This window comes from Homo sapiens, chromosome 5 (genome assembly GCF_000001405.40).
Source record: "Homo sapiens chromosome 5, GRCh38.p14 Primary Assembly".
Classification (NCBI taxonomy): domain Eukaryota; kingdom Metazoa; phylum Chordata; class Mammalia; order Primates; family Hominidae; genus Homo; species Homo sapiens.
In genome coordinates, this window is record NC_000005.10 from 84561006 (window position 1) to 84574992 (window position 13987).

Here is a 13987-nt window from a genome sequence, read left to right on the forward strand (position 1 = left end):
ATTTTTAGCAAATATTGTTTCCAGTGGGGCTTTCCCTTGTGTCCAACCAAATTCTGTTTCGTGAAAACTCATTGCAAAATTCTTATTATCTATACTTTATGAAAACTGGGAACACTTGCTTAGTGAGTTTTTCCAACCCTTTCATAGACAATGCATACGGAAGATAATTCAATTGTTCTTTAGTTATTATGCATCTGTAACCAGTCTTAAAATTCTACTACTTTAAATTTTACTCAATGAAGATTTTTAAACATCCAGTAATTCACATTATTTTCTCCTTTCCAATAGTATAAATTTAATAATTTATATATTGATTTAAGTGTTCAAATAGCCTTATATAATTATTATTTAATATATTTATAATATATATTTATATTAATATTTATAACTCCAAATACTTCACCCTCATTTTGCTGGAAATCATAAGTAATTCCACTTTTTAAAATTTATCTTCTTTAATCTTAAAATGGTACTACCATTTATTTTACTCTGCAGAAAGTCAATCAGTTCTGGAAAGGCCATTCTCTAAAGTCTACTGCTCTGTGGTAGCAGTGCTGCGTAGGTACTACAAATGTTGTCGTTCTGTTCAGTTTGATCATGTTATTAATAGTAGTGGCAAATCCACATGGGTCTGCAGCAACCTCAATTCTTGACTCCTCAGAAGAAAGAGTTTGACTGAGGGGCCTAAGACTGAGTGAGAGACTGAGGCAAGTTTTAGAGCAGGAGGGAAAGTTTATTAAAAAGCTTTAGAGTGGGAAATAAAAGGAAGTAAAGTATGCTTGAAAGAGGGCCAATCAGATGACTTGAGAGATCAAGTACGAGGGTACGAGGTTTGATTCTTGACTTGGAGGTTTTATATGTTGGATTCTTCCAGGGTCTGTGTTTAGTCCTCCCCTGATTCTTCCCTTGGGGTGGGCTCTTCACATGCACAGTGGCCTGCCAGCACTTGGAAGGGGCCACATGTGCAGTGTGTTTACTGGAGGTGTATGCATGCTCACTTGAGGCATTCTTGCCTTACCAGTCAAATGTCTCTAGAAGGTCATATCCCACTTAAACTCCACAATTTTTCCTCTAAGGGCCCACGCTTGAGCCCACTTGCCCAGCTTCTGAGATCTTATCAGGAAGCTGTGATCACCAGTTTCAGGTGTTTTTATCCATTGCCTTTCCTTGGTGCTGACTGCCACCAATTATTATTTAGAGACACAATTAACAACCGCCTGACCATCACCTGATGGTCACCTAAAGTTCCTGGTGGTGGGGAGGGCCGTCTCCTGCCCTGCACATGTCTGCCTGACTACTTACTCTAATAATCACACTGGGGATATTAATTTTCTATTGCCACTTAGAAAATTGCCACACACTTAGGGGCTTAAAAGGACCCACTTTTTTTATCTCACAGTTTCTGTGGTCTGAGTTCTGGCATAGGTTAGCTGAGTACTGTGCTCAGAGTCACAGAGGCTGCTGCAATCAACATTTCAACCAGGTTTTGTTCTTATCTGGAGGCATGACCAGGGAAAAAATCTGTTTTCAAACTCATTTAGGTTATTGGCAAAGCTTATTTCTTATGGCTGAATGACTTAGGGTTCTAGCTTCTTGCTGACTATAGGCTATAGGCCTCCTCAGGTCCTAGAAGCTATGTGGAGTTCCCTGCCATGAAGTTTTCTCCACAGGCAGTTCCCAACACATGTGCTTGCTTCTTTAAAACCATCTAGGGAATCTCTCCCTGTAATCTTTTAAAACTGTGTATTAGTCAGGATTCTCTACAGAAACAGAACAAATAGGAGATATATAAAAATACACACACACACACACACACACACACACACACACACACACACACATTGAGAGAGAGAGAGACTATGGGAAATTTATTATGGAAATTGACTTACATGATTTTGAAGGCCAAGAAATCCCACAATATGCCCTCTTCAAGTGAGAGAACCAGGAAAGCCAGTGGTGTAATTCAGATGGAGTAGGAAGGGAGGGACACCAGGATTACTGGTGTAAATCTCAGAGTCCAAAGGCCCAAGAATCAGGAGCTTCCATGGCAAATGGCAGGAGAAGATAGATGTCACAGCTCAAGAAGGAAGAAAGAATTTATGCTTCCTCCACCATTTTTATTCTATTAATGCCCTCAACAGTTTTGATGATGCCTTCCTACATTGCTGAGAGTCGGTCTTTTTTACTCAGTCTACTGATTCAAATGTTAATCTTTTCCAGAAACATCCTCACAGACACACGCAGAAATTACATTTTATCAGCTATCTAAGCATTCCTTAGCCCAGTCAAGTTGACACATAAAATTAACCTTCTTATGTAACAAATATGCATCGTTTTTTATTTTTATTTTTGCCACATTCTATTGTCGTGAAGCCAGTCACAGGTTTCTCCTGCTCTCTAGGTTAAGGGATCACACAAGGGTGACTCAATGAGAGGTCACCTTAATAATGTCTAACATGAGGGACTAATGAGCATCTCCCAAGCTCATGGTTAAGTGTCATAGTGCAAGCACCTGAAGACTAAGCATATATCATTTAATGTATTCACCTATATTTCTTGTGAGATTGTTTTGTATGAAAGTATGCCTCTCTAGCTGAGCACAGCGGCACGTGCCTATAGTCCCAGCTACTTAGGAGGCTGAGGCAGGAGGATCGCTTGAGCCCAGGATTTCAAGACTATAGTGAGGTATGATCATGCCACTGCACTCCAGTCTGAGCAACAGTACAAGACCCTCTCTCTAAAAATAAAAATATATATATATGCAACTTAAAATGGCTCAAAGGACTTTTTAAAGGACTTTTGTTCTCAATAATATATTTTAGCACCGGACGTGGTGTCTCTTGCCTGTAATCCCAGCAATTTGGGAGGCCAAGGCGGGCAGATCATTTGAGCCCAAAAGTTTGAGACAAGACTGGCAACATGGTGAAACCCCTTCTCTACAAAAAATACAAAAACTAGGCAGGCATGGTGGTGCACACCTGTAGCCTTAGCTACTCAGGAGGCTGAGGTGAGAGGATGGCTTGAGCCTGGGAGGTGGAGGTTGCAGTGAGCCAAGATCATGCCACTGCCCTCCAGCCTGGGTGATAGAGCGAGATGCTGTCTCAAAAAAAAAATATATATATATATATAGCTATTTAAAAACAAATACCTCCTATTTACTGCATTTGTGAGACAAACATTCCACTTGGTTTACCATTCTATTTTCCCTTTTCTTCTACTTATTTTTGTTTTGTTTTATTTTGTTATGAAAAAGTAAATAAACATACTTTGCTCTATTTTGCATTTATTTATATCCTGATTTTTTTTTCTTTGACAAAACAAATTTTTGATCTTCAGTAATGGTTTCATCAACAATCTTTCTATCTGTGTTTTCTTACAAAAAGGGAGAGTGAGTGCTAGCTCTAGTGCTAGCAACTACAGCATTCAGAATAACAAAGATAGGCATTGAAAGGCAAGCCTGGATTGACATCAGCAGCAAAAACAAAGCATTATTTATGAGGCTTGCCTGGCTACAATTTTCCAATGGTAATTTCTATTCCCTGACTCATTCCTCTTTTAGCATACACATTTAATGAAAACATTATGGAACAAAACCCAAAAGCAATCTGATGCCAAAGGACACTTAAGTGTTGCTTCGCATGATGAAAAATGTTGTAAGGACAAATCACTGTGACTGGGATATTAATGGGACAAGCCATGGCTTCCGAGTGGCTGTGGTATAGAATTTGGTACACCAGGTAAACAAAGCAACAGCTTTTGTCTTTGCACAACATACAAAGTCACACCCTTATCTAATTGCCTGGATAAACCTTCCCACTTTTTCCATAAGGCTGTAGTGTTTGTTCACAGAAGCAGTTTCCCTGTGGAAATTATCATGATGGACCAGACAGCTGAGGTAATAATGTAACCAGAGTTACTGAACATGTCACTGCTTGCATTAGCAAGAAGATTATATAGTTAATCAATCCACAAATAGTTCCTGAGTTCTTATTAAATGCAAGACACACAGTGGCAAACCAGCCTATAATCAAATGAGATAATGCTAATGATAGCACGTTGTTAACTGTAAATCCCCATTGAAATATGAGTTATGATTATTTAAAATGTTCCTGTGTAGCCTTCCCTCCAAGTAGTAAGACAGTGCTTTTACCTATTCTGTTGGGAATGACCCAGAGTCTTCTGGATGGAAGCACATTATGATTAAAACCAAGTGTACTGGGAACAGGGTCAAAAAGTTGACGGAAAGCAAGTCATATTCTTATGAAGGTGCCCTCGAGATTCCATTACATTCATGACACAATTAGCAAATCTTTGCTCCCTGTGGAGAAAATGGACCGATGTGGGGAAAGAACAAATGCATTTGTAGATGCCCCATCTTTCAGGCAAATTTAATTTATTAAACAGTGTTGTAAATTAATGGTGTTTTTCTCCTATGCAAAGTGCAATATGCCTTAAGACCACCATGTTATCATGGCATTTACCTTTGATTATAAATGTATAGCATGGCATAACATTGGTACATTTTATACGTAGAGACATTGAGAAATGGCTTTTACACATTTCACTGCTTATGAAAAGGAACTTATACTTTAGGCTTACGCCGACTTCCCTGACTTGAGCTCTAGGCTTTTTTCTTATTTTCTATTTCTTTATCATTTACTGAGCAGCTTCTGTTATTTTTCATTTCTCTTCCACAAATAGAGCCTAAACTCAAGGCAGCATTCCTAAAAGAGAGCGCTAATCCCAGTTACTTATTAAGTGGGCTTTGAACACTGACAATTCAATGGTATCTCTTTGACTTGTCAGGTTTGCTGTTGCCTTCAGCTGGAGGGGGTATACAGAGAACCTCTTTTTCTCCTCTTTTTCTTTGTTTATTTTTGCTTCACAATCAGCAGCAGTAATATCAGAACATAGACATCCAACAACTTCCAACCCAGATTGCTCTGGCGTGGCCTTCATATAGTTAAGTGAAGGAGGGTGAGACTTTGTAAACCATTATATCCTTCCAATCTGCACATTGCCATTTTGATGCTAATGTAGTATTCTTAAAGAATATTCCCCAAACTGCAAGCTGCTAAACAGATGCATTCTCCTGACATTCTCATTCAATTTATAGGAATTTTCAAATTTAAAGGCACATGAAACAGTCTTCTTGCAGTGAAGGCTCTTGCTTCTATGCTCTCCAGTGAGAATTGCATACATTTAATGCCTTGATATTAAATTTAATTTTCACCTGCTTTATAATGTTTCTAATCTAATAATCAAGACACCATTATATTTAGCACTTTATTTAGCACTTTATTTTTTAAAATGTAGAGGCCTGAAGCCTAATTAAAATCCTGTGAATTTCAAAGGAACCTAGGGTATTCTAGCCCAATGCAGATAAGGACTGAGATCAAACTCTTTAAAACAGGCTTGAAAAACTCAGCAATCCACCTGTCCAGCGTTCATTTGGCCAACATTTTACAGCAAGCCCATAAAATCCAAAGTAGTTTTGGCTTGAGATAGTCTGTTATAACATGAATAAATCCACAGTGATTTGGCATTTATGTCAGAGCATCCTGCTATTGTTTGGAAAGTTCTCAATCAAGAGAGGTGGATGCTAGATGCTACAGGAAGAAAGCCACCAGGCAAGAAAACCTCAATGAATAGACAAAATAACTAAACTTCAAAAGAAATGAACTTTTCCTGGGTCACTCTGTTTAAAAATAAAAATGCAGCTTTGTGGTTTATTTTGCAGAGTTCCTCGACAATATTGTGAAAGAATATATACCATCTTTAATCAGAACAACAGTGCTAATGTGGGTGAGTGAGATGATGACAGCAGGGAAGGCATTTTTTGCTTTAAATTGGTTTATATTAGGCTGAACTGTGGATGGCAAAATATAATAAAATTAAAAAGAAAAAAAAGAAAGCATGTCTTTTAAAAAGATGCCAGGTTTCCTAATCTAATCATTGTATTATTGGTATATTTTGGGGGACATAGGGTGAATTATAAAAAGATCCACTACTGATAGTGAAAATTATCAGTTTGTAAAACATTAAGAGAAAAATAGAATATTTTATACATGTGGTAAGTAGAGAACAGGGTAACTTTGAAGGAAAGTGTAAGGCAAATTTTAAGCACAACAAGATACATCAGATCTGAGAGGTGCCATGCTAAACAATGTCCATTAAACTGTAAAACTGGATTATGAAGTATTTGCATTCAGGGTGTCCTGAATATGATTGATTCTGTACTGGATTATGTTCTAACTTTCTTACTATTTAAGGATTGGTTCTAAATCTTTAGAATATAAAAGATTAAAAATAGTGAGAGGGAGCTATCACACACGTACTATTAAAAGCTGTATTTGGAATATGTGTGCCAATATCAGTTTTCTTTTTGTAATACTGAATGACAGTGGAATAATCATCAACGAATCCCTAAAGTTTACATCATTTAAGGAAATGGGGAAACAAAATTCCAGATAAATAACAAGACTGAATGGCTAGATTTAAAATAGTGGTTTTAGAAAATAGGATATCACAAGTTACAGTTTTTCAAATGGATTTTTTTTAAGATAAAGAAATTTACAAAAACAGGATAAACAATATAATGGAGAGTAGGAGAAATAGTGATGGGTCTATTTTACAGTAAAGTTTATACAGAATGACATTTTGCAGAAAATAACAGAAGCACCATTTTAAAAAATATATGATATCATTAAGAGCCATGAAGTTAAATGATGAAAGTAAGTGATATACTTTGAAAGATTTTTGAATCCAGAAAATTCTAAATAGAGAATGAGCCTTCTCTAGGTTTTGATTTTTTTTCTTCAGATTATTTCCAACAAAGTTGGGCTATAAACTAACAGAACATCTATCTACAGGAATTTTAATAGGAAAGAATTAGAATTTTAGACTGATTGTTGATCCTTTAAGTATGCTTCTAAGAAAATTCAATCGAGTTTCATGGGTTTTTCTAAATGGGAAGGAGAACAGTATTGATTTAGGATGACTTTCTTTCATTTAGGATTAGAAGAGTTAAATATCTTTAAAAAGCATTTTAAAAATTATTTTGATATATATGATTTTTAATTGCTTTCATATTTTCCAAATACCATGTTAAGATTTTAATGAAATTTTAAAAAAGGAAAAAAAAAACTAATGTAAGAGGAGCATAAACAAAGCCATTCTTCTTTCCCTCAGTTAAAAGTCAAATATGCAGTTTTAGGGCTTACAGATTGCACCACAGTGTCAGGGACTCAGGCACCCTATTGTTCCATGGTATGACCTTAACCTCAGTTCACAAATGACAGCATCTCTATTTCAAGCAACAGGGTAGAAGGGCAGAAAAAGCAAGAATATTGGTGTATGCTTGCTGTTTTTTGAGAATGGTTTCTGTAAGTCATTGCTTAATAGGTTGCTTTCCTTATAACTCATTGTCTAGACCATAGTATGTAGGCATGTTGAGCTCCAAGGGGTTTGGAGGACTGTGGTCTTCAAGATAACAATTAAGGTATTCTATTCGCATGAAAAAGGAAGGATTAGATAATGAAAGAGGAGCAGTATCTGTCATAGCTGAAAATAGACAGAAAGATAGTTAAAGAGTGAGACTTGAATAAGGGTTTCTGTCTACTGAAATGTTATCAAATGCTCATAAAAATTTTAAATATACTTTTAAATAGAACATCTGAAAAATTTTAAATATACCTTTAAACAGAATGTCTGAAAAATTTTAAATATACTTTAAAATAGAACAATTAAATATAATACTTTGTATCCTTGCTGTGAGAGTAAAACTGTGCCATTTAAAATTGAGTCACTACTGTTAAAATAGTCACCACTGTTAAAATAGAGTTAAAATATTTCAATCAAATATTTATATTTCAAATAATTTTGACGATAATAGTATAGCTTTGGCAAGGAGTTGAGTACAACCAGTGATTTAAAAAAATCACAAGATTATATTGTTGAAAATTTTAAAATGCTAAATCAATAAAAGAAATTTTAAAAGTTAGATTTAAAAAGTCTTGAATAGATTTGTTTCTTGAAGACAAATACATGTTTTTACTCACTGATATTTGCATGAAATCTAGTATATAGGAGAGAGTCAAACATCTTTTTTATCTTGAATTTAAAATAATTCTAATTTAAGTATAGTCTCACATTCAGCATAATCTTTTCTTTTACATTTTCGATGATGAATTTTAAATAACCACCTGACAACTAATATACTGTTATATACTTCTTTTAAGTCATAGTACATAAATACATATTTAAACACACATATTTAAATTTGAAAGGTCAGTATGTGTGTGGAGTCAAAAATGTGGTAAAGATAATTGTTACATATTGTTTATATTTAAGAGTTGGTGGCTCATGGGCAGAAGAATTAATTTTGAATGTACTAACTTTTGTGCATGTAAATTTACAGACTTCAGCATATTTTGATTATTGAATAAAGCTTTATGCCCTTTGGAACTTAATTATCTGAATGACAGGTTTTTCTCACATACATTATGTCATCTCATCATATTTTCAAACTTCATAAGTTAGTTCCTTTAAATAATCAGGCAATTTTTTTTTAAATGGCAAGCCAGTTACATTGCTAACCACTTGTTCAATTTAAAAGGTTGTTGGAGAGATGTTATTAAAATTCTGGGATAATCCTGCATTAACGCTGATTTTGACAGCTTTTTAGTAACATGATGTTATCGTAAAATTAATATAAATCACATTCCAATGTTATTAAAAGAATAAGTCTTAAGCTTACCTCTTAAGATACATTTATATTAATTGTTCAAGTATCAATAAGACACACAGCTGAGCTCAGAAATGATATAATTGTGATATAAGTGCCATGCCACATTTGTTTATCCAGTGATGGATTCATGCCTCAATTTTTAAGTTTCTCTTCATTCCTCTTACCATTTGGTGACTTGCGCATGGACTGGTGATGCGCCATGTCTAAATAATTACATTACTGCATCCTTTCAGTTCACAGGCTAAATAATGCCCTTTGCCCCTTTGTCATTTCCCATCTGTCTTTATTGCCCTTCTTGCCCTGATTATATTTCTTGATCCATAATAATCACACTCTTACAAATATCTTCTGCTATCCACTTTTTTCATGCATGGACCCATAAACTTAATAATTCTGGTAAAAACAAACCAATCTAAAACTAAACAAAACCCCACAACTGGGGAGATCGATTTCACTAGAAATGCGTAATCACCTCCTAAGTATTGGTAATATTATCTTCTATCTTCTTCCATACCACCAACACAAAGTCTCTTTCCTAAACCTCTAGAATAGTCTACAACCTTTGCTATTGCCCACTCCATTATCTAACCTTTACCAACTTTCACAGTCATCTTTGTAAAATGTACATCCTTTTCCATTACTCCCAGGCTTATAAACCTTTTAATGGCTGTCAGTTGCCCTTAAGTAGTATACTTATTCCTTAAGGAAGCTTATAATACTCAGTATTATGCAACCTTTGTCCGCCACTCATCCTGTCTGTTTCTCCATCATTCTTAAACAATTATATTATTTCACTTCCTCAAACACAACAACCATTTTCTCATCTTGGGAAATAATTCATATCTGCAGTTAGGCTGCCTGAAAGTGTTTTCTCATTTTCTTCCCTCATCTTCAAATCTAAAGTAGATTTTTTATTATTACCTCTCAAAACACCTTGTTCTTTTCTTCTATTTAGTTACTATGTGTAACTACATGTTTCTGTTTTTACTTACTCTTTGCTTCTCCCACCAGATTCTGGGCTCTACGTAGCAGAGAACACCACCATATGTCCAAGCATAGGACAATTACCTAGAGCATAGAAATTGGTTAAGTGCATGGATAAATGAAGTATGCTATTAGTGGGCAAATAAAGTAATTGGAGAGTATTATATTTTAAATACCAGTGCATAAGCCAATAAATAATCCATTAGCTTTTTTTAAATCACCAATTAACATGTGATGTAGTTTGGATTTTTGTCCCCTCCAAATCTCATGTTGAAATGTGATTCCCTAATGGAGGTGGGACCTGGTGGGAAGTGTTGGGTTCATGGGAGTGGATCCCTCATGAATAGCTTCATGCCCTCCCTGTGGTAATGAGTTCAGGCAAGATCTAGTTGTTAAAAAGAGTCTGTGACCTCCCCGCTTCTCTCCTTGGCCTTACCAGAGGCGGAGCAGATACTGGCACCATGCTTCTTGTATAGCCTACAAGACTATGAGCCAAATAAATATCTTTCCCTTAAAATTACTCAGTCCCAGACATTCCTTTATAAGCAATGGAAAATAGACTACCACATGTTTTGCAAAATAGACTACCACATGTTTTGAAAAAGAATTTTATCAGTTGAATAGTATCAGTGTGTAATTTAATACAATGATGAGCACTTCTACTTCCTCAATGAAGATCTAATTGTGCACTTATTTTTGTATTTTTAATAGAAAGAACTGAATACACCATATGGTTCTAATCCAACCTCATTGTACAGAGGCAGAAACCAGAAAGCCACAGAATTTAAATAAATGTCTATATGCTACACAGGTAGTAAATGGCAAAACTGCTACCAGCATCTACGTACAAATCTTAAATCTTCTTTTTAACAAGCTGAAATGTAAAAATCTTCCAAAAAGTGGCTTTAGTTTTACATAGCTACTTATGAAAAATATGAGAACAGGGCTTTAATATGGTATAAGTTACAGAGTTATCTTTGTTTATATATACTAATGGTAGCCAAATAATACTTGATAGTTAAATGAAGCTAGTGTTTAGTGTAATAGGTTTCCACTGAGCCTGAGCTATTTGTCTTATTCAGTTGTTTTCTTTAGTGCTCCTATAGAAGTCTTCCTCTACAATTGATACTTACTTACTAATGTGCACACTGATACTTAAGGTCTGTTTAACCTTCTTTAGGTGTCACGTTAAATTTAGTGAAGTCGCCTTTAGTTCTTGACTGAAGGCTAGAAATAAGACCAGATCTGTCAACTTTTCTGTTACTCAAGACCTCTGGATAGATTTATAGAGGAAATATAAGGACACAAGCATCTTTTAAAGTTGAAGCTCTGTTCATCCCTCAAGGTAATAAAATAGGTAGAATTTACTATAATTACATTCCTTTCTAAATTGTAATATATATATTTATATATATATATATATTTTTTTCCCCAGCCCAATAATTGTTAATACATTTGAAAAGTAAGGGTTTTTTTTTGGCCTGTTTCCTCATTACTACACATTCCTAATTCTTTATCGTCCTTGTCTTGTTGTTTCTTCTTTCTAGGACACATCTTTAAGTTAACTCAAAATGATACTGGGGCTTCAAAAGAATAACTGTCAGAGAAATGTTTCCAACTAGGAAGTTTCATTCAATTAAAATAAAGTGAGCTGTATTTCATCAGAATAGGTAATGTTCTAGAATTCCAAGGCAGAGAAAATTGCATCTACAGGTCAGGCTGCTTTTATTTATGGTTTTATTAAATTGTATTGTTTATTACCATGTACAAGTTTATAACCCACACAGTGATATTATGAAATATATATTTGGTCTTTGTTCCTGTTTCCTGGCACATAACTCCTAAAATCTTTGAAATCTTCAAAGTACTAAGTGTCTTTTATAAATGAGTCGACTGATGGCTGGCAGTCCCTAGGTAGCCTTGGGATAGGGCTGGGGATTGATCACCAGAAAGACCAAGGTAGGATTAGAGGTTTAGGACTTTTAGGCCCACCTCCCAACCTCCCAGGAGGGGAGAAAGGCTGAAAGTTAAGTTGATCACCAATGGCTTATAATTTAATCAATCATGCCTACAAAATGAAGCCTTCATAAAAGCCGAATGATAGAGTTTAGATGAGTTTCTGGATAACTGAACACATGGAGGTCCCTGGAAGGTGGCTTGAATGGGGAGAACATGAAAACTCTGCACCCCTTCCCTCATACCTCACCCTACGCATCCCTTCATCTGTATCCATTGAAATATCCTTTATAATAAACAAGTAAATGTGTTTCCTTGAATTCTGTTAGCTGCTGTAGCAAGTTATTTGAATCTGAAGAGGAAGTTATGGGGACCCCACTTTATAGCTTGTTGTCAGAAGCACAGTTAAAAGAACCTGGGGCTTGTGATTGGCACTGGAAGTGGGGGACACTCTTCTGGGACTGAGCCTTTATCCACCTGTCTGTGTCAGGATTGAATTGAAGGATGCCCAGCTGCAAATTCCTCTGCAGAATTGATTGCTTGTTTGCTGCTCTGGAGAAATCCCACACAGCTGGTGTCAGAAACATGTTGTGAGGGATAGTGAGTGAAACTGAGTTTGTTTTTTCCACTCACACACTCACTCTGATTCTTTAAAAAATTTTTCCTTGTTTCTAGAGAACATTATGCCTCTATATTCATTTCTAATTTCTTAGTCATAGGCTGTTTTATATATCTTTCTCTCTAGCTTATACTGTGATTCTTCCCACTTCACGGAACCTTTATATGGTGATCCCAGAGAGCATTAGTGAGAGCTAATCATAGCTCTTGTCTGTTTGCAAAAGGTGCAAATATAGTTCCTATGACAATAAGCCTTTCATCTGCATGCCAGTCACATTGCAAATCTCGTGATCTACAAGTGGTAAAAGTCTCAATGTGCACAAATTTTATCTCGGTCAAGTCAAAAATTTAAACAGTTTATTTGAGGATACTAATACTAGCCTAATTCATAAATTATTGCAAAAATCAAATGACGTATTTCTTAGTAAGCAATTTGTAATAGATAAAGAAGAGATATCGTAATAAAATGAGCTATGATGGTATCATTATTTACTAAATCCCAGACAGAAGTCAGTACCAATATACGGTTGTTATCCAATGGCATATCTCCAAAGTGTTTTGGTGGTTTTGCAAGGTCTTCCTCAGCTTCTCTTCTACTCAGAGAAATAGGAGTATAGAGTTCCAGGTAAAAGTAAACATTATACTTTAATTTCTAACTTTTCAAGTTAAGTAAAATGCGAAAGTTTTAAGACTGAATTCAGATTGTTTCAAGCAAAGCAAAACTTAAGCATGTCATTTAGCAAAGTTGTTGAGTTTAAATTTTCTCAGCAGGTTAATTTTTATTTCTATGTTTTAAAACACGGTACTCTTCTCTAAGCTGTTTCTTCATCCATTTAGCATTACTATGTGCTCGATGGCTTTACTACTGTAAGGACCACAATAATCTCATTTACTTGGAGCCTATTTGCTAAAGCACTGGGAATTTTATGTGTCTTAGTCCATTTTGTGCTGCTATAGTAGGACACCTAAGAATGGGCAATTCATAATGAACAGAGACTTACTGGCTTGCAGTTCTGGAGGCTGGAAAGTCCAAGATCAAGAGTCTGGCATCTGGTGAGAGCCTTCTTGCTTTGTCAGCCTATAATAGAAGGGCAAAGAGAAAGGGAAAGAGAAAACTCATAGCTTCAAACTGTTTTTGTAATTAGCATTACTCCATTCATGATGGTTGGGCCTCATGACCTAAACACCTCTTATAAGATTCCTCTTCCTAATACTGTTACGTTGGGGATTAATTTTCCAACAGAAGCTTTCTGTAAGACACATGAAAACCATAGCAATAAGTTATCCTAAAAATCATTTTGTTAATTTGCTTAAACTATTTTACATTCATATTTTTACATAAATATATAAGTATTATAAATCGAAGATTCAATTTGAATTAATATTTCCAAGAACATCTTTTTCAAAAATCTAAATTACATATGTGTTTGAAGCTATAATTTAAATGTCTAATTTGATTTTCCAAAAATCTTTAAAAAAGATTTAATTGATCCTCATTATTTGCAGATTCTATATTTTCAAATTTTCCAACTTTCTAAAATATATTTGTAAAAACAAAATCAAAGCTATGACACTTTCCTAGTCATTTGTGGACATGCTCGTGGTGGTAAAAAATTTAAATCATTAATAGAACTTAAAAGTGACAGGACTCAAAATGGCATGGGGTTTATGACGAACCTA

At 35.2% G+C, this 13987-nt stretch overlaps 1 long non-coding RNA gene across 1 annotated transcript, besides 1 other annotated feature; it reads left to right on the forward strand.

The window, feature by feature from the left end:
- The first annotated feature begins 3280 nt into the window (after nt 1-3280).
- On the forward strand, nt 3281-13773 carry LOC105379059 (uncharacterized). The gene is made up of 3 exons (XR_948528.2): nt 3281-5805; nt 10914-11078; nt 11281-13773. It is a non-coding gene; the product is annotated as an uncharacterized LOC105379059 (long non-coding RNA).
- Nucleotides 7172-7728: an enhancer, noted in NCBI's record as "NANOG hESC enhancer chr5:83863995-83864551 (GRCh37/hg19 assembly coordinates)". NCBI's record gives its function as "activates a minimal SCP1, AML or CMV promoter by ChIP-STARR-seq in primed H9 embryonic stem cells {active_cell/tissue: H9 hESC(primed)}" and the evidence as "EXISTENCE:reporter gene assay evidence [ECO:0000049][PMID:30033119]".
- Nucleotides 13774-13987: the final 214 nt, after the last annotated feature.